This window comes from Homo sapiens, chromosome 3, assembly GCF_000001405.40.
Source record: "Homo sapiens chromosome 3, GRCh38.p14 Primary Assembly".
In the NCBI taxonomy this organism is placed as follows: domain Eukaryota; kingdom Metazoa; phylum Chordata; class Mammalia; order Primates; family Hominidae; genus Homo; species Homo sapiens.
In genome coordinates, this window is record NC_000003.12 from 41,455,671 (window position 1) to 41,479,854 (window position 24,184).

Consider the following 24,184-nt stretch of genomic DNA (forward strand, 5'->3'; position numbering starts at 1 on the left):
ATCGGGCAGACACAAGGGGCTGAGGAAGCATTCTACCTCAGTTCCCAAGGATGGAATAGATGGAGGCCCCAGAAGAGATACTATGCTTTGTTATGACATAACAAGGAGTGTAGATATTGCCACTGCCACCAGCTCAGGCTACAGAGGCTGACCTGGACAGCACATAGATAAAGCAATTACAAAGGTTGCTAATGGAGGAATAATGGTGATGTCCCATATATTGCAGTGAGGAAGCGCTTAATCTTTTTTTTCTTTTTGAGTTGGAGTCTCCCTCTGTCACCCAGGCTGTTGTGCAGTGGCACAATCTCAGCTCACTGCAACCTCTGCCTCCTGGGTTCAAGCGATTCTCCTGACTCAGCCTCCTGAGTAGCTAAGATTACAGGCTCTTGCCACCACACCTCGCTAGTTTTTGTATTTTTAGTAGAGACGGGGTTTTGCCATGTTGGCCAGGCAGGTCTCTAACTCCTGACCTCACGTGATCCACCCATCACAGACTCCCAAAATGCTGGCATTGCAGATGTGAGCCACCGCGCCCAGCCAAAAGTGCTTTATCTTAACCATCCTGAGACTAGGTGCTGAAGAAAACTGAACTTTAGAGAAGCTGGGTAGTTTGTCTAACATCTCACAGTTAAGGAGTGACAAAGCCAGAGGACCAAACCCAGGCTGACTCCAAGTCACAAATGCTAATCTCCTCTGAGCATATTTATGCACATGATACATACCAAGTGCATTCTGCTATGCTTTCCTTCTCTATATGCATACATATGCTCAAATAACATCTAAAATATTTGTCCAACATATCATTGCATGAATAGGCTTCAAATACAGGTAGATATTCCTATGAATGTTTAGACTTAAATGGCAATGAAAATAAATGAGTGAGTGGTTTTTACATTGTGTGTCTTCTCGCAGGGGTTTTATAGAACTGTCTAATTCCAAAGGAGATTTCTATCATAGAGATGAATAATTTTATATTAAAAAATGGTATGGATTATTTTTTCCATTTGCTATAATATGTAGACGCCCTTCCTCTCTGTTTTTACGTTTACTCAGAAGAAACAAAACCACTTTTCAATAATGACCTTTGCCAGAGCTAACAGAGCAGGCCACAGGCTGCCCTGCCTTAAGTCATTAACCTGGACTCCAGGACCCTTCTCATAAATGCCTAGTTTCCTTCTGCACTTCTGGCCTATGGACAGAATTTCAGTTGCCTGTTTTCTTTGGTTCAGAAGAACTTGACTGAAAATCGGACACCTGTTTTTAACAACTTGCACATCTCAAAAGATAAGGAGAACAAGGGTCATCATTAGCTCGGAGCTTCCCTCTCACTTCCCTGACTAACTTTATCGGAAATGGAGAATTTCCTGTCAGGAAACAAATGTGCGGCACTATCCAAGAGGTCTGAACCTTTCTGAATCTTGGCCGTTGATCCCTTGCCCTCTGAAACATTATCTGACATGGAATATTAGCCTTTCCACATTACCACATTATCCCTTAGAGCAGATTGATTTCTTCCTGGGAGAGATAAGGCAGTCTTGCAAATCAGCAATGAGGCAGCAGTGAGGGGTACGGTGCCTCCTTTCCAAACACACACAAGCAAGGGAATGGGGCCACAGTACAAGAAACACTGTAGGACTTTTTCCACCAGGATGTCCCATGGTCCTCCAGATCCTCCAAGATCTGCATAGTCATACGTCATAGTCGCCAAGAAACATCGACCCAGCCTACCAGTATTCATGTGGCCACCTCCTTGCAAAGTTGCCAAGAGTTCCAGAAGAAAGAGAAGGCTACAGCTTTGCACAACAGAGAGGTGGCACAAAAGAAAGACATTAGAAATTCCACTCTCCCCACAAAAGTACTGGCCCACAAAGGAAGCTCTGTGCAACAAAAGGACACCTGCCTGGATGCAGCAATAAACACTGAAGCCCCCAGAATCAAATGCAAAGGCCCAGGCCTGCCTTGCCTCTCAGCCTCTCTCCAATTTCCCAACATCAGACTCCCTCATGTCAGCCTCCTAACTCCTGGATTTGCCACCCTTTGTGTGCATCTTGTACAGGGCCCGTGTCCCTGTCACAACATCATGACTGTCTGCTCCATCCAGGTCCTCTGACTTTGCTTCTGGTCCCACTGACCCCTTTCCAGAACCACTCCCTTTTGTCATTGCTGTGTGTGAACTCACCCCACTCCTAGCGATCCCCTAGCTGTTATAACCCAGGCGATAGAGGATGCTAGCCTGGGCTAGGGTGATAGCAGCAGGGTTTGAGAGAGGCAATTGGATGTGTTAGATGTTTATGGTAAAATCTACATGATTTGGTGACAGATTAGATGTGGGATATAAAAAAAGAGGGAAATTTTAAGAACGCCTCCAGGTTTCTGGTTTGCGTGGCAGGGTGAGTGGGGCAGGGCTTGCTGGCAGGGAAATGGATTTGGGAGGTAGATCCTGAGTTCAGCTTTGGTCTATGGGGCATTCTAGAGGTCATATTGAGCAAGCTGCTAGGTATATGAATATGGATTTCAAAGAAGAACTTTAGGTAGAAACATACATTTAGTAGCCTTAAACATATCCAACTAAAGAAGGTGACATTCCTTTGGAACTTGTCATCCTTTAGTTAAACCATGAGATCCTAGAGGATGGGGACTGAATCATATTCATCTTTACATTGCGAACGTGCAACATGATGGTGTTTGGAGAGCACAGTAAGTGTTGAATTGATCTGAGCCACACCATTGACAGTTATGCTCTAGTGTGTGCTAAAACCTGCTGGAGATATAAGACAGGAACTGAGCTGGGCATGGTAGCTCATGCTTGTAATTCCAGCACGTTGGGAGGCCGAGGCGGGTGGCCTGTCAATTTCTGGGCCATATTTAACATTAAATAGCAATACAGCATTACCTAAAGTGAGATAACAGAATACAGCTTCTTAGTATTAAAAAAAAAGGCCAGGTATAATACAGTTCTCTTACATCTAGCATTGCTACACAAATCTAGCACACAGAAGTAGGTAATCAACAGAGGTCTGCTAAATATACACAGAAGTAAGGCATCTATAAAGAACAAGAGACAGTTACTTTCTCAAGTAGTTCCTGTCTTATTTATCTTTTTGAGATGCAGTCTCTCTCTTTCATCCAGGCTGGAGTGCAGTGGCACGATCTCGGCTTAGTGCAACCTCTGCCTCCTGGGTTCAAGCAATTCCCCTGCCTCAGCCTCCCAAGTGGCTGGGATTACGGGTCCCCGCAAGCATGACTGGCTAATTTTTATATTTTTAATAGAGACAGGGTTTCACCATGTTGGCCAGGCTGCTCTCAAACTCCAGACCTCATGATCTGCCTGCCTCAGCCTCCCAAAGTGCTGGGATTACAGGTGTCAGCCACCGTGCCCAGCCTTTATTTTTATTTTTTGAGATGGAGTCTCGCTCTGTCACCCAGGCTGGAGTGCAGTGGCGTGATCTCGGTTCACTGAAACCTCCGCCTCCCAGGTTCAAATGATTCTCCTGCTTCAGCCTCCCGAGTAGCTAGGACTACAGGTGTGTGCCACCACACCCGGCTAATTTATTTTTTTATTTTTTTTATTTTTAGTAGAGACAAGATTTCACCATGTTGGCCAGGCTGGTCTTGAACTCCTGACCACATGTGATCTGCCCACCTGGGCCTCTCCCAAAGGGCTGGAATTATAAGCATGAGTCACCATGCCCAGCCCAGTTCCTGTCGTTATATCTCCAGCAGGTTTTAGCACACAGTGGAGCATAACTGTCAATGGTGCGGCTCGGATCAATTCAATTCAACACTTACTGTGCTCCCCAAACACGATCATGCTGCACATTCACAATGCAAAGATGAACATGATTCAGTCCCCATTATCTAGGATCTCATGGTTTAACTAAAAGGATGACAAGTTCCAAATAACTGTGCTAAGGCAGAATATGAAAACTGCTATAATAGAGGTAGAAATAAAGTTTAGGTTAAGGAGGGAAGTAGGATAATGTCACAATTGACTTCATCACTTGGATGGTGGGGACGGGGTCTACTAGAAGTCATATGGAGTACAAATATTTCACATGTGGAAATTTCATGAGGAAAGGCACAGGAGTGACAAAGCACAGCATCCACTTACAAGATGGCAGTGCAACTGTCTGATTGGGGTATGGGCAGCATGGAGGTCAGGCAGATGAGCTGGAAAGGTACCCTGGGGCTCGACTGTATAAGCCTTTGAATGTCTCAGCAAGGAGTCAGTAAGTTATAGATAATGAGATGTCACTGAAGTTTTCAAAGGAAGGGAGAAACTATCAGGACTATGGGCTATGACAGAAAAATCTCATCCGCATTCAACAACCAGGCAGAGGGTAGTTTATGGTGAAGGCCAACGAGGGGAAGGCCGTGAAGGAATCAAGTTGGATAATTATAAGAGATGCTAAAAACAGACAGCCCCCTAAAATAGCCCCCAACTACGCATAGCCTTTATGTGTATGTGGGACTAAGAAAGACTCAGTAGCCACATTACAGTCTTTCAACAATACTGACACATCTGCAAATCAACAGCAGTTTAATGGTCCTACTATCAGGAGGATGAGGTAACAAACTTCCCCATACCACCTCAGAAAGGATAAACAAGGCCCAGATTGGAAAGTCAGGTGACCTGAATTAGAATAATAAATATTTGTCTTCCCTAGAAAAGCCCTCCCTAATCTCAAAATTGGGTTTGGTCCCCTGCCTCATTATTCATTCTGCAGCATGTAATACCTTTCAATTGCTGCATTTTCACACATGCAATAAGATGACGACTTGCTTCATTACTTGTATGTTGACAGTCTTCCCTATTAAACTGTAAGCTTCCTGAGAGCTAACACCCTTTCTCCCTTGATTCCTGCTGAAATTACAGGTGCCTAGCCCTATGCTAGGCTCATAAGTACAAAATAACTCATAAGCCTGCTAGGAGTTAGTCAGTAAATATGAACTGAGTGCTCTTCCATGCACCGGGATGTAGAAATGAGAAAGTCATGGCCCACAGGAGGCCCCCTGTAAACAAAAAAGGAAGCACCTTTCTTCTTGTTGCTGTTCATGATACAGTAACCACTTATTGGTCACCTTCACCGGGCCAGGTATATGTATGTCACTTTACATCTATATATAATTATATATATTTTATTCTCCCATTGAAGTCTCACAACCACCCCGCAGAGTGGTGACCACATCTACTTTCCAGATGAGGAAACTGATACTTAGGTGCAGTAACTTGCCCGAGGTTACAGAGGTGGGGAGTGGTATACTGGTGTGTCTGGGATTTGAATCTAAGGCATTCCAGCCTGCACAACCCACATGTCCCCACCACACCACTGAGTCTCAGGCACTTTGTCTCTGCCTCCATTATCTTTCACACATAACATTCAGAGGTGAACAGGGACCAGTTTTAAATCATGGGGAAGGTAGTGGGTAGGGACTGAACTTCTGATGGAGATTCTGACACGTGCCTGCCTTTGCTCCCCCATACACATACTTGCATCATACCACTCTCCTCCCTGGAAAAGTGCTTTGTGAATCTAAGCATTATTATAATTTTAAGCACTGGCCTCTCTCAATTCTTCTACTTTTAAGAAGCTCTTATTAGAAATAGATACAGGTTTCAAGTGCAGAAGAATCCCCAGTGTGAGAAGTATGTCTATAAATGGAAGGGGTGACTTAGGGTTTTGGAAAGTACTTATGGCTCAGTGTTTCAAGGCAGATATGTCTTTGATTCACATTCCATTTCTTTTCCCAACTCTTCCACCTAATTCAGCCTCAAGGACTCCTCCTCCTTCATATTGACACCAGGTGTCATGGAGATCAAAGTCAGTGGTCAAGGCCAAAAGCAATACATGGCAGATATTATGAGGGATGATTTAGAAAGATGGTAGCAGTAAAATGTACAGTGGTGTTCAAGACTATGAAAACAATAAAAAACAGTGATCTACTGGGAAACCAGCAAGTTGGAAATAGAAAATTCAAAAATATTTTGTATTAAGGAGTTTCCTTTCAAAACATCCCTGAATATCTACCTAATCACTTGTAGTAAAAAAAAGAATTTCTATTATCCTGAAGATTTTTAACTTCTGATCCTTTTTCTGTCTACAATTTACAAGAAAATCTTTTACAGATTGTCATCAAGGTATCCTGTAAAAGTAACTATCAACTACATCTCAAAGAATTACAAAAATCTACCACTATGGAAACTGAAATAAGAAACTGTGTTCTCTGAAAAGAAACTTACTAGAATGGAGAGGAAAAGATAGGAGAAATACATAATTAGCAATTATTTAAGTACGTAACAATTATTTACTGTTAATTTGGAATTATTATAAATGAGCTAATAAAAGCAGCTAGGTAATTCAAAGGCCATGGCTTTTTAATTAATCTACTGGCTTTACAGTTTGGGTTTAATACTTAGTAACTAATAATATTTGTTGAGGGGATCTTGGATTTATTAAATCATATTAGACAAGCTAAATACTTGACCAGCTTAACTGTGGATAAAAGATATCATTTATCATAATGATGAATAACAGAGGCTATCCTGGGGTCTAGGGAGTCATTCTTGGCTCTGCTACTGTGACTTTGGCAAGGTATCAAAACAGTTTGGTTTCAACTTTAGCTTCTGCGTCTATCCAAGCTTGGATGCCATCATTTGATATACATCTCTTGCAATTGTATCAGGATTTTAAATGTAACAATAAATTCACCTTGACCCTGTCACTTTCACTTGATCTAAATATCAGCTGACTCCATCGGTTAGACAGAGCATTAAATAAAACAGGCATAGGAAAGTACTCTATAAAACCACACCTCCTTCCTGCCTTACAGCATAATGCTAAGTAAATACAGGTTACAGTTTATGGCTAATTGGCTTTTTCCATAGCCACTGAATACACCTCTATTCCTCAAAACCATCTCACAAGTCCATGGTATCAGTCATAAGGGAAAGAAAATGAGCTTATGAGTTACATAGGTATGTATATGTGTCTACAAACACACACATGCATGTGTATGTACACAAACCCTCAATCCATTATTCCTAGAAAGCTGACCTATCCTGCTGAGGGGGAACTGGAGAGCCACCTCAGGACATGAAAAGCTGCAAACTACTTGGCCAACCTAGGATGTGCCTAAGGCAAATGCTCTCCTTGGTCAGGAGTGGTTTCCCAACTAATGCTTGCTAAGTCTTTGCTTAGTAGTAGGCCTCTCCTTCCTTCCCTGAAGATTTTGATCAAATTCTCTGTTCTTGACATTGGTCACCCAAAGATGACTCTTCAGAAGACACTCTCTATAGAATTATACATTCTTTTAAATAAGTAAAGACACAATAGAGGAAGATAAGAAAGAAGAGAATGAAAGGGAAGCATGAAATGGAGTAGGGCTGCTCAAGACACAGGAAAACAGATCCTCTACCTGCAAAGCCAGCCGTACAATACCGGAGGTATAGGTCAGCATGCTGTGCAAAATATCAAGCAGGGAAAAGAGCAGTGGAGCTGCCATCTCATTGTTGTTTTTATTGTCCACATCCAAGCACAGTGTGGCAGTTTCAGTGAGCAGGTTACAGATGTGACTGACAAGTCCTGAGGGTAAAAAAGGAAAAGAAAAAAACCTCATCATTAAGTACACAAATGTGTCATATGAACCAAAAAGAGAGGCATTCTGGCTCTATGTTGCATAAACCCTAAGCAATACTTAAACTATACTCTTATCAGATTCACTGAGGAAAGTTGTTTAAAATGCAGGTTTCCAGGCCTCACTCCCAGAGAGTGTCTTAGGAAAATACTTGTTAAAGAAGTTCCCCAAGTGATTTTGATGCAAAGGTTCCAAACCACAGCTTGAGAAACACCATCCTACATGGGCAGGCTTCACAGGGTCTGAGGACTCCCTGGCACTGAAGGAAAACAACTGTCCCCAGATTCTTGTTTGAAGGCAGTTTTCTTTAGTGCATGATCAAGGGCCACAGTGAACCCAGTGGTCTGCTCTATCTAGCAACTGGGTGGTTTCCATAATGCAGTCCACAAATGTAAGATAAATTATAAGAAATTTGAAATTTAGAAATTACCAGGTGCCATCCCTTTGTCTCTGCAAACCTCATATTAACAGTGTGGTTGGTCTTTACTGATGTTTAGTTTGATATAGTCTGTTACAATAAATACATTTTCACATTTTGGGGGTGTTATTGTTTACATTAAATTGACATTTTTATCCTATTATATAGTGTTAACCTTTGAATTGAAATACAACAAAAGTGAAATTACAACATGAAATAATGTTATAAACCTAAATGATGAATGAGAACTTTGGAATCAGTAGAGCATAAATTCAGATGTTCTAAAAAAAAAAAAAAAGTGAATTTTCAAAGATAAATATTTTACACACGCAGATGGGGGAAAAGCACGGCAAGGAAGTCTGATGTGTATTAAAAGCTATATTTTACTGGACCTGCAATCTATTTGTCCCTACTCCAGATCATCAATTGAATGGAAACTCAGCTAAGCACAGCCATGTAAGTTTTGGCACCTCTTCTATACAGTGCACCTTGTCACTTCCAGCAAAACAATCCAGTCTTCCTGACAAATGCGAAATTATCACAAAATTATCAGATTACAAAAGTGAACTAATTTTGTCACTAAAGGCAGTGACATAGAATGACAGACGCATCAAAGTTATACCTCCTGTGGCCAAAAAAAGGCATAAGTCTCACACAACTGCTAAGATGCTTATAAAAACAAAAACAAAACTGAGTTTCAAGGCTGAAAATAAACAAACTTGAAAGTAGAATGAATTACCGTCAAAATTTCCTTATCAAATGACAAGGTCTGATAACCCATATCATCAATGATACATAGTGCAGAAAAGCAATTATTACAGCATGTGCACTGCACCACCAGGCATTCTCCTTAGAGTTACAATGCATCACCCATGTACAGGCTATGAATCAGCACTTGGCATCTGTGAGCTGTAGATAGAAGGGCTTGAAAACATAGTATTTGGTAAACATACGCTGCAAGACAACAGGTTTTTCATTTGGGGGTTCCTGATGACTTTGTGACATGTCACACAGATGGTCAAAGGTAAAAGGGGTAAGTACTGGTGGAGTCCAGCTCTGTGAGCAGCAAAGAAGGATATGGTTCTTTAGGAGGCAGAGGTGGGTCCCAGAGCACCCATCTACATACTGCTTACTTCAGAGTAAACAGTTAGTGGGCATCAATGTTCTTCTTGAACTTCATTCAGTCTTCAAGGAAGGAGTGCAAAGAATGAATGCAATCAAATCCCTGCTGGGACAGAAAGTATTTCCAGTCTACTGTGTAAAAAACAGACAACAGATGCCAAGCTCTGATTTTACACACTGAAGTCACCAGCTCCCAAGGGAAGGTTCTCAGATAAGATTAGAAATGAAGTATGAGATAAAAATATTTCTTCACAACAGTGATAACGCCAGCAAAACCCATTAATATGATTTTAAGAAGCTGATCTCAGCCATATTTTCAGTGTTCTTCATAGCCAGAACTTTCACTTCAGGGTCAAAATGCATGTTTTTCATGTTTAAATATTTTATTATGAAAACAAAGTCATGAGACAGTTCAGCAAAATGTACCTTCATTACCCTTTTCAACAATATCAATATTGTGTCTATTTTACCTGTCTTTTGAAAAGCATTTTAAAGCAAATACCAGAACACATCTTATTTCTCCTGTAAATACTTCTGTATAACAGATAAAGACTCGTTTTTAACTACAATACCATTGCCACTTTTAAAAATCAATGTATTTTTTATATACTCAACTGTCTCAAAACTATTTTTTTACAATTAGTTTATATGAATCAGGATGCAAAGCAGCTCCATAAATTCCATTTGGTCATGGACCTTAAGTCTCCTTTAATTTCTAATAGTCCTTCCTCTACTTACAATTTTTTATGCCACTTATTTGTTGGATAAATTAGAACAGTTTTCTTGTAGATTTTCTCATGGAACTGTTCCTATATCCCTACATGTCCTGTAAATTGGTAATTGCACCTAGAGACTTGATTTAATTCAGGTTCAATTCCTTTGGCAGTAATACCTGGGGCTGGGTTCTTTGGATTTCCTGTTGCATCTTATCTGGAAAGATATACCATTTGTCTTAGTTATGTTAAAATTGATCCATGGATTCAAGGGTTGTTATTTTGAAAAGGAAAAGCAAGATAAATGTTTATTCTTTCCTGTCGTTTACCAGTTTCAGAACAATGATTTTGGAGTGTTAGCAACCACCAAAGATAACCAAGGTGTGAAGTGGGAAGGGTAGACGAAGATAGAAACTACCAAAAGTTACTAATGCATTCATTTTGTAGCACCATTGTGAACATAATGCATTTTTAAATAATATATATTATGGGTTTCAATTGATTTCAATCACTATTCATTTGTATGCTCAATATGTCCTATCTTTGGCCACTAAGAGCTCCTTGAAAGTATCCTTGCTTCTGCTATAATAATGTGCACTGAGTTCATATTATAGAATTCCTGCTTCTGACTGGGCATTAGACACTTCTCCAAGGAGCCCTGGTTTCATTCAATGAGAATGTGTACTTAGAGTCCATGGTCTGAGCATTCGGGGTGTTCATTGCTACTGAGTCACTGATTCAGTAAACGGAGATAGTAAGTATCTGTCTCTTTAAGAAAAATGAGTTCATACAGATATTTCTAATGCCAGACTCCAGAAACAGACCCACAATTACACAGTCAGGAACTCTTCAGAAAAAAATCCTTTTCAACAAAAGGGTAAGGAAAAACTGAGTATCCAAATGGGGGGAAAAGAGAGATCCTTGACCATTACCTCACACAACATACAAACACTAATTTCAGATGAATGATAGATCTAAACATACATGCTAAAATTAAAAAGGTTCTAGGAGAAAATGTAAGAGAAGATTTTGCAACTAGGTAGGCAAGATTTCTTAGGATCCCAAAATACCTGGTCTTTAAAAAATGGATAAATTAGACTTCATTAAAAAGTAAAGCTTTTGCAAATCAAAAGATATTATTAAAAAATAATAAATAAGGAAGCCAAAGAATAGGAAAAAATATTCTTCTCTTTTTCTACATGTATATATGTATGTGTGTATATATGTGTGTGTATATGTGCATGTGTGTGTCCAAAAACCTGTATCCAGAATATACAAACAATTCCCACAACTCGATAATAAAAGTACAAATAATACAATTTTTAAAAATGGGTAAAATATGTGAATAGCCAGTTCACAAAAGGTATAACAGTCAATAAGTATATGAAAAGTGTTCAATATCACTATCATCAGGGAAATGCAGATTAAAATCACAATGGGATATCACCATACATACATATAAATAATTATAATCTAAAAAACTAACACAAAATGTTAGTAATGATGTGCAGCAACCAGGACTCACATATATTACTGATGAAAAACAGTTGGCATTTTTAAATAAATCTAAATATACATTTACCATATTATCCAGAAATCTTACTCCAAGGTATTTATCCAAGTAAAATGAACACATATGTCCACATAAAGATTAATTAGAGCTTTATTCAAAATAGCTCCAAACTGCGGCCAGGCACCGTGGCTCACACCTGTAATTCCAGCACTTTGGGAGGCCGAGGTGGGCAGATCACTTGAGGCAGGAATTCGAGACCAGCCTGACCAACATGGTGAAAACCCATCTCTACTAAAAGTACAAAAAATTAGCTGGGCATGGTGGCACACACTATAATCCCAGCGACTCAGGAGGCTGAGGCAGGAGAATCGTTTGAACCCAGGAGGCAGAAGTTGTAGTGAGCTGAGATTGTGCCACTGCACTCCTGCCTGGGTGATAGAGCACGACTCTGTTACAAACAAACAAAAAAAGCCCCAAACTAGAAATAGCCCAGGTGTCCATCAACAGGAGACTAAACAAATTAAGATATAATCATATAGTGGAATATCACTTAGCAACTAAAAATATCAAACACTGAACTTTACAAGAACATAGATGAATCTCAAAAAAAATGCTGACAGACAGATTGCAAAAATTAAAGAATTCTATGAAATAAGTTGTATGAACACATTTATTTAAGGTTCTAAAGAAAACTTGTCTCTATTGATTGGGGTCAGAACAGAAGTTATTTCTAGGAGAGGGGAAGATGGAACTTTCTAGGGTGACAGAAATGTTCTATACTTTGATGGGGTGTTGGTTATAGCAGTGCATGCATTTTTCAAAACTAAATATAAGATTTGTACCTTTTACTGCATATAAAATATACTTAAATTTAAAAATGCAGAGTTAAGAAAAAACAGGTTGGGACAAACTAGAGAAATGCTTCAGGAAGATAAATAAAGCAGTATGTGCTGTCTTCACTGGGTTAATAGCAGAATTTACTGAGCACTTGCTCTTTTCCTGGCACTATACTCTCACTAGAAGAAATGGGGAAGTGAGTTTCTAGGTAATTTTAAGTTAACTTTTAAGATATGCTGAGTTTGATACAACAAAGGGACATTCAAAGTGCCAACGTTCAAGGGAGATTAAGCCCTAAAAACTAGGTAACAGTTAAAACTAAAAGACAACAACAACAAAAAAGAAGCAAAAGATGATCAGAGAGAACAGAAAATTTCCCAAAGGACAGTCAAATTTAGAGAGAAACAGAGTCAAAGACTGAGGGTCGAGTAAGTCCCAAACAGGGGCAAGGATTTACAGAGGAAATGGAGGCAAAGGTGCTAATATAATACAGTAGGAATCACGACAATGTAAAGTAATGGATATCAAGGAATAACTAGAATTAAAAAGAAAATGGGTGTCAAGAATGTCTAGTTGGAGTCTATAGACCTCCTATAGAAGAATAGGAGGTCTTAGGTTTCCGCACGTTCCACAGAAAGTTCTATCAGCAACTATCCACAGATATGAACACTCTGATGAAATCCTCCAAAATTGGGAATAAGCCTGAGTCACCTGTGTGGTTTATGGAACTTTTCCACATGAAAAGGGTAAGATAAAAGGGTCTTATTTTGACTATACTACCTTTCCACCTCCCAGAGGTTAGCATAGTGCCACAAAGAGAGGATTCTCCAGGAACTGGGGTTTCTACAGAGGGAAGAGAACCAGAGGTGGACAACCATCTTCTCTAGCATCTTGTGGCACTTTCCAGAAAGCCCACTCCTATCTTACATCATGGGGAACACAAGGGAAAATGCTACCACTAGACCAACTGGGATTAGGCAGAAACAAAGAAAGGAGGTGTAGTAGAAAGCCATCAGGACATAGATATGGTGTTAGCTTTGTGTACCTGTCAGCAGTAGTGCCCAATCAGTGGTACCAGCTAATAGCCCATCCAACTTGAAAAGCTGAGCTAGTCACTCCAGAAGTGATCAAAAGTTCTACCTAGCTTAAATCTCTACACAGTCAGCCTCCAGGACCAGCCTCATACCTTGCCCCAAAGCCTCACATCCAGGGAGCAAGACGATCATCACAGCAAATTTCCACAAAGAGCAGAGGCTCTATCTATCACACCCAGGAGTTTAAACAGCACTCAGTCAAGCTTCAAAGCTCACCTCAAGAGCCTGCCTAGACAGAGAGACAAATCTCAACTGTGAATTTCTAATGAACATAGCAGCTGCTCCCAGCCATTCCAATTAGCATCCTGATCACAGCCCCTCCTGCAACCCTGTTCAACTACTGAACTCAAATAGTAAAACTATCTGGCCAAAGAATATACTCCTGTGGCCCAGCCCAATGATGGGCCAACTGTATTTCCAGAGATCAACCAGTGGTCTCACTGGATAGAAGAGCCCAGCCAGCTGCCTCATCAAAATTGAGAGCAAAGGCAGCAGCCCAGCCATCTAGAGAGCCCAAAGCAAGCTCTGCCTGCCCATGGCCATCAAAGCCGGCCCATCTACAATAAAAGCTAAATGAAAGAGTGAAGGCCTACACCTGCCAAAAAAAAAAAAAAAAAAAAAAAAACACCTTAAAAGCCTAAAAAGATGGCTATCTCCTCAACTGCACAAACACCAATGCAAGAACACAAGAATTACAAAGAATCAGGAAATCATGATATATCCAAAAGAAACTAAGAAAGCTCCAACAATAGACCCTAAAGAAAGGGTCAAATTTTATAAACAGAAATACTAGAGACAATACTGAACTGAAAAATACAAACAGGAAGCTTCAACATAGGCTCCCTCACACTGAAGAATCAGTGAACTTGAAGATAGAACATCTGAAATTATCCAATCAGAGCTGCAAATAAATAAATAAGTAAATAAATAAGAGTGACAAAAGCCTATAAGGATTATGGAATACCATTAAGAGACCTAACCTATGCATAAGAGGAATTCAAGAAGAAACAGAACAGAAAAAAAAAAAAAAAAAAAAAAAAAAAACAAAGTATTTTTAAAGGAACTAATGGCTGAAAACTTCTTTTAATTTAGGGATAGATGCCAACATTCAGGTAGAGGAAGCACAGAGGTCTCCAATCAAAGTAAACCAAAAGAAGAGTTCACCAGGACACATAATCAAATTATGAAAAATCAAAGATGAAGAAAATATGCTAATATGCTGACAGCAACAAGAAACACATTACATCCAAGGGAGTCCCAATACAATGTCAGTAGATTTCTTAACAGAATTCCTGCAGGGCAAGAGAGAGTGGGATGATTTATTCAAAGGGCTGAAGGAAAAAATGCTGCCAAACAAGAATATTTTACCCAATAAAATTGTCTTTCCAAAATGAAAAAGAAAAACTTTCCCAGACAAACAAATGCTAACGGAATTCATCACCACTAGGCTTGCCTTACATGATTGGCTAAAGAGAGTTAAGTTAAACAAAAAACCACTAATAACATAAAACACACAAAATCACAAAACTCAATGGTATAAGTAATACAAAGCCATATTCAGGATACCTTAGAACTCTAATTGCGGCATGTAAAGTGGTTTTACTCCTAGTGTGAGGGTTCCAAGGAAAAAACTAATAATAATGACTACAGCTAAAATAAACTGTTAATAAATGCATATTACAAAATGATGTAAATTCTGATATCAAAAACATAAAATGAAGGGCAATAAAACTGTAAAGCTGTATGCAAAGTTAAGAAGTTAGCAGCTTGAAACAGACTGTTATAAGATGTTCTATGTAAGTCTCATGGTAATCACAAAATAAAAATGTATAGTAGACACACAAAACAAAAACAGGAAAGATTCAAAGCATATCACTATAGAAAACCATCAAACTGCAAAGGAAGACAAGAGAGGAAGAAAGAAGCAAAACAACCAGAAAATAATAAAATGACAGAAGTCCTTACCTATTGATAATTACCTTGAATGTAAACAGATTAAATTCTCCAACAAAAAGACATAGAGTAATTGAATGAATTAAACAAACAAACAACAGAACAAAAAACCACAAAACTAGACCCAACTATAAGCCGCCTACAAGATACTCACCTCACTTTTAAGGACACACACAAACTGAAAGTGAAGGAATGGAAAAAGATATTCCACGCAAAGGGAAACCAAAAGAGGGCAGAGAGACTTCTATTTATATAAAACAAAACAGACTTTAAACCAAAACTACAGAAAGCAATAAAGAAAGAAGTTATATAATGATAAAAGGGTCAGTTCAACAAGAGGATATAACAACTGTAAATATATATGCACCCAACATCAGAGCACCAAAATTATATAAAGCAAATACTAAAGGATCTAAATGGAGAGATAGACTGCAATACAAGAATAGTATGGGACTTATCCCACTTATAGCAATGGAAAAATCATCCAGACAGAAATTAATAAGAAAACACTGGTCTTGAACAACACTTTAGACCAATGAACTAACAGACATATGCAGAACATTCCACCTAACAGCAACAAAATATACAATCTTCTCAAGCACACATGGAACATTCTTCAGGATAGATTATACGTGAGGACAAGTCTTGACATGTCTTCACAAGTATTCACAAATTTAAGAAGACTGAAATAATAACAAGTACCTTTACCAAATAGGATGGTATGAAACTAAAAAATCAACAACAGGAGTAATTTTGGAAAATTGACAAATACATGAAAAACAACATGTTCCTGAACAACCAATGAGTTAATAAAGAAATTAAAAGGAAAATTTAAAAAAATTGAGACAAATGAAAATGGAGATACAAAATTCTAAAACTTACAGGATACAGCAAAAGCAGTTCTGAGAAAAAAGTTTATTACAATAAGTACCTACATCAAAAAGAAAGGTCTCAAATAAACAACTTAATGTTATATCTCAAAAAAAAAAAACAAAATGAAGAATAAGCTAAGCTCAATTTTAGCAGAAAAATTAAAAATATCAGAGCAGAAAACAATGAAATAGAACTAGAAAAGCAATACTAAAATAAACTAAAACTTGTATTTTTGAAAAAATAAAAATTGAGAAATCTTTAGACTAAGAAAAAAAAGAGATGACTCAAATAAATAAAATCAGAAATGAAAGAGAAGAAATTAAACAGAAATACAAAGAATCATAAGAGCTATTGTAAACAACTAAATGTCAAAAAAAATTGAATAACCGAGAAGAAAGGATGTATTCCTAAACACATATAACCTACTAAGACTAAATCATAAAGAAAAAGAAAATCTGGGCTGGGCATGGTGGCTCATGCCTGTAATCCCAGGACTTTGGGAGGCCAAGGCAGGCAGATGACCTGAGGTCAGGAGTTCAAAACCAGCCTGGCCAATATGATGAAACCCCATCTCTAATAAAAATACAAAAATTAGCCAGGTGTGGTGGTGCATGCCTGTAATGCCAGCTACTTAGGAGGCTGAGGCAAGAGAATCACTTGAGCCCAGGAGGTGGAGGTTGCGGTGAGCAGAGATCACACCACTGCACTCCAGCCTGGGTGACAGAGTGGGACTGTCAAAAAAAAGAAAAAAAAAAAAAAGAAAATCTGAACAGATCAACAAGAAGATTGAATAAATAGTAAAAAGTCTTCCGTCAAAGAAAAGCCCAGGACCTAATGGCTTCACTGTTGAATTCTACCAAACTTTTAAAGAAAAACTAATACCAATCCTTCACAAACTCTTCCAAAAAATCGAAGGGGAAATAATAGTTTCAAATTCTTTTTATGAGCCCAGCATTACCCTCATACCAAAGCCAGACAAGGATATCACAAGAATAAAAAACTAAAGGCCACTGTCTTTGATAAATACAGATGTAAAAATACTCAATAAAATGCTAATAAACTGAATTCCACAATATATTAAGAGGTTCATTCACTATGATCAAATGAGATTTATCTCTGGCATGCAAGGATGGTTCAACATATGCAAATCAATATCACATAAGAATGAAGGAAAAAAATTATATAATCAATAGATGCATAGAAATAATTTGACAAAATTCAACATCTTTTCATGATTAAAAACTCTCAACAAATCAATGTACCTCAACATAATAAAGGACATAGATGATAAGCATAGGTAACATTACATTCAATGATGAAAAAATAAAACATTTTCCTCTAAGATCCAGAGGAACACAAGGATGCCCACTCTTGCCACTTATATTGAACACAGTATTAGAAGACTTTACCAGAGTAATTAGGCAAGAGAAAAAAAGAAAAGGCATCCATAAAGGAAAAAGTAGAATTGTTGCTGTTTGTCAACAATATGATCTTGTATGTGGAAAACGCTAAAGATTCCACCATATAAAACTGCTAGAACTAGTAAATATAGGCTGGGCACAGTGGCTCACGCCTGTAAACCCAGCACTTTGGGAGGCCAAGGCAGGAGGATCACTTGCAGTCAGGAGTTCAAGACCAGCCTGGCCAACATGGTGAAATCCCATTTCTACTAAAAATACAAAAATTAGCCGGGCATGGTGGAACATGCCTGTAATCCCAGCTACACAGGAGGCTGAGGTGGGAGCATCGCTTGAACCTGGTAGGCGGAGGTTGCAGTGAGCTGAGATCGCACCACGGCACTCCAGGCTGGGCAACAGAATGAGATTCTGTCTCAAAGAAAAAAAAAAAAAAAAAAAGAAGAACTAATAAATACAGTTAAATTTAACAAACTTTCTGAAAAAAAAGTCATTTACAATAGTTGTAAAAAAATACTTATGAATAAATTTAAGATGGTGAAATAACTGTACCCTGAAAACTATAGAAAATTAAAAAGAAAAAGAAAAGAAATTAACAAAGACATGGATAAATGGAAAGATATCCCATGTTCATGGATTGGAGGAATTAATATTGTTAAAATGTCCGTTCTGCCTAAAGCAATCTACAGATTCAATGCAGCAATCCCTAATAAAATTTCAATAGCATTTTTCATAAAAATAGGCAAAACAATTGTAAAATTCAAATGGAACCACAAAATAAATTCATATGGAGCCCTCAAATGGCCAAGGCAATATTGAACAAAAAGAACGAAGCTAGAGACGTCACACTTCCTGATTTCAAACTATACTACAAAGCAATAGTAACTTAAAAAGCATGGTACTGGCATAAAAATAGACACATTGACCAGTAGAAAAGAATAGAGAGCCCAGAAATGAAACACATGTGTAGCCAATTGACTCTTGACAAAGGTATCAAGAACATATAATAGGGAAACGACTGTCTCTTCAGTAAATGGTGCTAGGTAAATCAGACATCCATATGTAGAAGACTAAAACTGGACCCTTATCCTCACCCTACATACAAAAATCAGTTCAAAATGGATTAAAGACTCAGACATAAGACCTGACACTGAAAAACCACTAGAAGAAAACACAGAGGGGAAAAAACACAAGACACTATTCTGGGCAGTAACTTTTTAGATTTGACCTCAAAAGTGCAGGCAACAAAAGCAAAAACAGACAGATACATCCAAATATAAAGTTTCTGCACAACACACTCTGCAAAATAACAGAGTAAAGAGACAAGCTACAGACTGAGAGAAAATATGTGCAAGCCATACATATGATAAGGGGTTAATATACAAAATATATATGGAACTCAACAACACTACAGAAAAACATTCTGATTTAAAAACGAACAAGGAACTTGAATAGACATTTCTCAAAAGAAGACATACAAATGGCCACGAGATACATGAAAAGATGCTCATCACCAGGGAAATAAAAATTAAAACCACAAGGAGATATCACCTTACATCTGTCAGAATGATTATTATTAAAAAAAAAAAAAGAAAACAAACATTGGCAACAATGTGGAGGAAAGGGAACTCCTGTACACTGTTGGTGAAATGTAAATTAGTATGACTATTATGGAAAAGTATACGGAGGCTCCTTTAAAAAATTAAAAACAGAATTACCATATGATCCAGAAATCCCACTTCTGGGTATTTACCCATAAGATTTGAAATCAACACATTGAAGAGATATCTGCACTCTCATGTGCATTGAAGCACTATTCACAGTAGACAAGTTATAGACTCAATCTAGGTGTCCATCAGCAGATAAAAGGATAAAGAAAATGTGGTACATACACGCAATGGAATTTTATTCAGCCTTAAAAAAGAAAAAATTCTGTCATTTGTGACAACATGGATGGACGTGGAAAGCATTATGCTATGTGAAATAAACCAGACACGGGAAGACAAATACCACATGTTCTCATATACATAACATCTAAAACAATAAAATACAAAGAAGCAGAGAGTAGAATGGTGGATACCAGAGACTGAGAAGGTGGGCAGAATGTGGAGATGATGGTCAAAAGGTACAAAATCTCAATTAGACAGAAGAAATAAGATTTTTTTCTTTGACATATAATGCACAGCATGGTGAATATAGTAATAATGTATACTTCAAAATCACTAAGAGTATACATTTCAAACATTCTCACCACAAAAAAATAAGTATTTGAGATCATGAACATTTTAACTGCTTGATTTAATTATTCCACATTATATTCATAAATTACAATATCACTTTGTACCCCATAAATATACAACTATAATTTGTCAGTTACAATTTAAAAAATAAAAATTAAAAAAAGAACGTTAAACTGAGACAATTCAAAACCTGAGAAAAGTTCACTGATTTGACAATTTCCAGGCCACTGATAACTATCATTAGTAAAATTTACTAGGTACTGTGGACTGAAGTCAGACTTCAAGCTACCAGATCTTCCATGTTGCATTTTCCCACATACCATGTAAGTGTAGACATATTTGCTTCCCTACTGTTTCAGAATTTGCCCAAAGAAGAAGTTAGGAAACAGGAAGGGAGGAGAGAAGGAGGGAAGAAAAGAGGAAGGGAAGGAGTGAGGGAAGGAGCGAAGGAAGGAGGGAGAAGGGAGGAAAGGATGGAGGGAAAGAGGGAGGGAGGCATGGGAGGGCAGGAGAGAAGGAGGGAAAAAGGGAGGGAGGCATGGGAGGGCAGGAGAGGAGGGAAAAAGGAAGGAAGGGAGGGAGGGAGGGAAAGGAGGAGGGAGGGAGGGCAAGCAGGAAGGCTTAAACCTGGGTTTGCATAGGGCTGACACCACCAGTGGTCCATAACCCCTAAGGGTACAAAGAGAGAGGGAGCAACCGCTGTTAGTCTCCCACCTTACCTAGTGGGAATTGAAAATTAGACTACTAATGTTGGTGAAGCTCTGTAAACAGGCTAATACATGATGCATTTTACTAAGTGAAGAAATAAATCTAAAAAGAAACAAAGCAAGTCAAGGTAGAAACTTTTGGTATGGAGGGGAGAAAAATTAACACTCCCCTATCTCCCTACTTTTATTCTTCTCCACAGACAGCCATGATCAAGACAAGATATTCCACCTCCAAAGAGATGCAGGGAAGTTCAAGGATATTGCCAAGGCTGTGTTCTCCAGAGTTAAGACTTTCCAAGAGATCAAAATGTCAGTGGAGATGGGTGTGTGGCTCTTTCTGTCTTCATCTTCCACGAAGAAGGCTTGTAACAATATGGCATAGCCAGAGGCCTGACCCCTGGGAAACATTAAGCCATTCCTTTTTTTTTTATTTTTTCCTCTCTTTTCTCTCCCTCTCTCTCATCTAGACTCAGTCTAAGGTGTAGTAGTTACCTGTGGCTTAGATCAGCTCTGCTTTGGACTACTGGGCAAATGCATAGCCCTTTTTTTAATTATTATTATTTTTATGACTCTTGCCTCTTCTACTGGTTCTAGCTGATACACATCTACTTGAAAGAGTGAGGGAAGCTTTCTTACATGAAAATATTAACATCCGAGACTGAAGTTTAAACACTGAGATAAATATACAGGGAAAGTCAAAGCCACCTTTGTCTCCAGACTAGTAGGTAGGTATAGGAAATAGAGAAACGTGTACCTCAGCATAATGAAAAGGGCTTCCGTGCTTTGCATGCCTGTTATCTCTCTCAGAGATGCTGTTGGGATGCATCTGGGATAGTGTGCTAGTACTTCCCAGTCCTCTGGTCAAATGCTACCACAACAATTTCTTAATATTCCATCCCAACATCTCTAAAAGAAGCCAACATTCATTAATTCAAAGAACCCAAGAATTATTTTGCATTAATTATAACCAACTCCTAAAAAATCCAAGATTTATTTTGTATGAATTATAAGCAAACCCCTAAAGGAGTCTCTCCGTAAGTTATTTTCAAGTGTTTAATGTTCTGAGAATATTAATATACATGAACTGTTCCCAACTCCAATCATTGTGTTCTTGTTATTAGTTTTTCACAATCTGTTAGAGAGCTAATATAAGAATATACTTTGAATTTCCAAGCTTTAGAAAGTGCTTTATATCTCATTTTTAATGATTTGAAAATACAACACTCTAAATCAAAGGTAACCTTCCTGCATAGAGGCTTTCTTCTGGCTAATTTTACATTTACATCATGCAAACATGTGGTCACTTACACTAGGGTTTGTTAAAATCAACCTAAACACACAATCTGGAAAAGAAGTATAAAAGCATTTGTGAAATTCAATGTGGGGACATAATTCTTTCCCAAACTGATCAATGATTAACCACTAAAACCAGAAGTCACATTAAATCAGTTAAGTTAAAAAGTCTGTTTTTAAACTGAAGAACTTTGACAGTGAAAGTGGCAATGCCTGTCTTGGACATACTGACAGGTTATAAATGTAAGTATCTGTGAACTGTGGGGTCGCCATGGAGCCATGGAGCACCAAGGGCATGCAGCCTCTTCTGGCCAAAGGTTAACAAGCAACCACTCACATACGGCATGGCCCCACATGACAATGTGACCAAACATCTATGAGGTTAAACATTTCTGAATCATCTCAGTGTAAGATTTGCCTATGCTATTTTAGCCCTGTTAAGCATGGGTCTAACATGCTCACCTAGGTTGGCATAAGTGCTAATACAAGACCACATAGGTGTCTACATTGTGCTTGTCACCAGGCCAATGCCTTTCAAACCCAGCTCTACTCCTCCTCCTGCATTTGTACTCCCAACTCTGCAGTCCCTTTGGCCTAGAGCTTTCAGTTTGGCTTCTTTACCTGAAATCCTCACCCTCATCCATGGGTCTAAGCTCCAGGGCCCATGGGAGTTTAACCTTCTCTAGTCAGGGGAAGGACATCAAACACATTTAGCTCAATGAGTATGATGAGCTAATTCACAATTCTGGGCTTTGCTGAAGTAAAGTACCCCATCAAATCCTATAATCCGAAAGAACCTGATGAATCACATGCTGAGACTTCTCAAATAAGACAGAAGCTAATGTTTCAACAAAATGTTTTCTTTCAAAAATCTGGAAAGTCTCTGTATTCAGTACATTCATTTTGAATTACTTTCCTAAGAAAATTTTGCATATTAGAGTATCTTAAACCAGCCCAGCTCCCTTCTGAGCCCACAGTGGTCTCTGGATCCTCCTATGATTAGCAAAGATTACTGTGTTGAATTATTCCAAGCATATAATTTATTCTGGTAGCCTGTCCCAAGTGAGTGCCATGCCCTTTTCTGGTTTAGGCAGAAATCCTGAATTTTTGCTGCATGGCCAAAAAGAAGTCCAAGTTACATACTTGAGAGTGAAAAGTTTCGGATGGGATAAACTCAATTATAAAATCCCTGAAAGGAGAAGTTTAACCCTTGAGGGATTTCTGCACTGAAGATACACTCATTTTGACTACTCATAGCTCAAGTGGCTTAGGATTAATTTAAGCAAATATGCCTGGAAGGATTTTTGTGAGAATACAGAAAGTAGGAGTGGCTGGTAATTTCATACTCAAAACTTAAGATACAATGTTACTTATGACTAATTCAAAAACTAAATTCTATTCTTAGCTCAACGTTACATAAACTTACTTTCCAATTACGTCCAGGTAATAAGATGGTTAAAGAATGATTGATCATATATTCCAATGCCCAGGAAAGTGCTGGGAAGAGAATAGAGTGGAGATGCAGAGAAGAAAATCCTCTTGGGGTGGGGGTGATCCCTCATCAGCAGCACAGCCTGGGGTCTATCCCCAAAAACCTGAAAGCTTTATCAATTCAATTCCAACTTTAATTCAGCACTTGCTGAATTATAAGGGATTTTTGCAAGCTGGGCAATGAACTGGAGAACAACCTTTAGAGCCCTACACCTCAGAAAATCTTCAGCCCTTCTCCTTTTTCCTCCCCTGTCATCTACTTCTGAGATGGTAAGTAAACATTCGGGAGAAAATCAGCATCACTCTTTCACTCACTGGTTCATTTGCAATACGCTAAGCATTTATAATGTAAATTTTACAATGCCAGACTGAAGGAATTACAAAAAAAGTAAGGAATAGTCCCTTCCCTTCACAGCCCATATAAATATATTGGAATATGAACTGGATCACAGGATAAAGCACCAGTTGGTGCTGTTGGTCGGAGAAGATGATGATCAACGGGAAGGCAGGGAAAGTTATTGTGGGGAAGGAGAGACTTGAAGTGGACTTTGCAGATCATCTGGATTTGGACAGGTAGAATGGAGGAAGAAAGGCAAGACAGGCTTGGTCAGTAAACAATGAGAAAGACTTGCAGGTGGGATTTGAACATGCTGTATTCAGGCAATTGTGGGAAGGCTAGAAGCTAGGGCCTGTGAAAAACAGCAGAGACAGGTAGGGCAGAAGAGTAGAGAGACGTGGCATGCAGATTCCTAAAACTCCTAAAGGACAGGAGACACTAGATTTTATCCTGTAGGCAATACAATATGGCAACAATTTCTCCCATTGGTTTCTTACTATAAAAGCAATATATATTCATTATAGACAAATTCCTATTTTTCAT

General features: G+C 38.5%; 1 protein-coding gene across 6 annotated transcripts in view; it reads right to left on the bottom strand.

The window, feature by feature from the left end:
* Positions 1–24,184, bottom strand: part of ULK4 (unc-51 like kinase 4) — a 715,505-nt gene that overhangs the window by 209,072 nt on the left and 482,249 nt on the right. For all 6 annotated transcript variants that reach the window (NR_136342.2, NM_001322501.2, NM_017886.4 and 3 more), the window contains one exon: positions 7,417–7,583. Coding sequence is in view for 5 of the 6 variants with exons in the window: in NM_001322501.2 (NP_001309430.1) it covers positions 7,417–7,583 (167 nt within the window). In the remaining variant the exon portion in view is untranslated. The remainder of the gene's footprint in view (positions 1–7,416; positions 7,584–24,184) is intronic.